Below are 1603 nucleotides of genomic sequence, written 5' to 3'. Positions count from 1 at the left end.
TTACATAGAGGTGTTTGTAGTATTCTCTGATGGTAGTTTGTATTTCTGCGGGATTTCTAAGATGCTTTGCTAGTGTGTCTTCAGTTTGACTTCACTAGAGAATATTGCTGAATGCCCTGAAAGGGTACACCAAGCCTGTCTTCAGGAGTAGAACTTGAAAGTGATGATTCAATAGAACAGGATTAAATTCATCAGGTAAATCGGTTTTTGCACAATGCTATTGCATGCTTTAACTTGAAAATAGATTTTGGATAAAATAAAGTGTTCCACTCTTAAGTGGGAATATTCATGAGTAGAAGCTTACTGAATTATCACAAAAATAAATTACCCATTAAGCCACTATCCATGTCTCAGGAAAATAGAACTTTATTTAAGTCTCAGGAACTTCCCTTGTGTTCTCTTCCACTGACTATTGCCTCTTTCCAAATATAGCTGGCACGTTGACTTATAAGACTATGTTGAATTTTTTTGAATTTTCTATTCATAGAATGTTATGGTTTGAATTATTTGTAATTGACTTATTTCACCTGTCATTATGTTTGTAAGATTCATTTAGATTATTGCACATAATATTAGTTCATTCTTTCTTCCTGCTGATGATAATCCATCATCATTATGAAATCCAAATAAATTTCCTAGTTCTACAATAGATGATCATTTCAGTTATTTACAGTCTGCCTTTTACAACTATAGCCTCTGTAAACATTTGTACATATTTCTTGATATTCTATTGGCAATACCCTGGGAGGAAAATCTCTGGCCATAGGCTATGTGTATATTCAACTTCAATGAATAATGTCAGAGTCTTTTAAAGTGAGTGTTCCAATTTACTCTCTAACCAACACCATATGCAAGTTCTATCCACACCAAAATATTTTATCAGTTACTGAGTGAAGTGTGTGAAAATCACCAACTATGACTGCAGATTTGCCTCTCTTTTTATTTCTGAAAGTTCTGAGTTTACATATTTTGTGACTATATTATTAGGAGCATGCAAATGTAGAATTATACATCTTTTAGTTGATTATTTTAGACTCATAAAAGTCCTTTTTGTCAATACTAATGTTTATTCTTTCAGGTATACTTTGTACCATATTAGTATAGCCATCCAAGGTTTCTTTTAAGTTAGCTTTTGCCTGATACATCTTTTTCCATCATTTTGTTTTCTACAGTGGATTTAAATGAACTCTTTACTATGGTTTTCTATTGACTACCTTTTGTGTTCCTTTTGCTCTCTTTCATGACCTTCTTTTAGATTTAGTACTTTTGATTTTTCCTTCCCTTCCCTCCACCTAGACATATGACTCTGAAGAACTCTTAGTATTTCAAGATTATACTTTCAGGGATCATTTCTATAGTTTGTTACTAGTATTTCTGTATGCGTTTGGGGTGCAAGTGTGTTTAAAATTTAATTTCCTTTAGCCCTTTAAAAGATGTTTTATGGCTAAAAGAAATATGTGAAGAGGTAATTTTTTGAAACTGGTAAAACATATTAAGTCACATATTTAAGAAGCATAAGATCCTTAAGCAACATAAATACCAAAAAAACTCATATATGTGTGTGTATATATACATATACACACACACACACATGTAAGTATGT

General features: G+C 31.9%; 1 pseudogene; it reads left to right on the top strand.

Annotated features, from left to right (window-relative positions):
• The first annotated feature begins 1327 nt into the window (after window positions 1-1327).
• Window positions 1328-1399, top strand: LOC124902599 (uncharacterized; annotated as a pseudogene).
• Window positions 1400-1603: the final 204 nt, after the last annotated feature.

This window comes from Homo sapiens, chromosome 10 (genome assembly GCF_000001405.40).
Source record: "Homo sapiens chromosome 10, GRCh38.p14 Primary Assembly".
Taxonomy (NCBI): Eukaryota; Metazoa; Chordata; class Mammalia; order Primates; family Hominidae; genus Homo; species Homo sapiens.
Note: the sequence above shows the minus strand (reverse complement) of the source record. Positions and strands in the feature narration are given on the sequence as shown.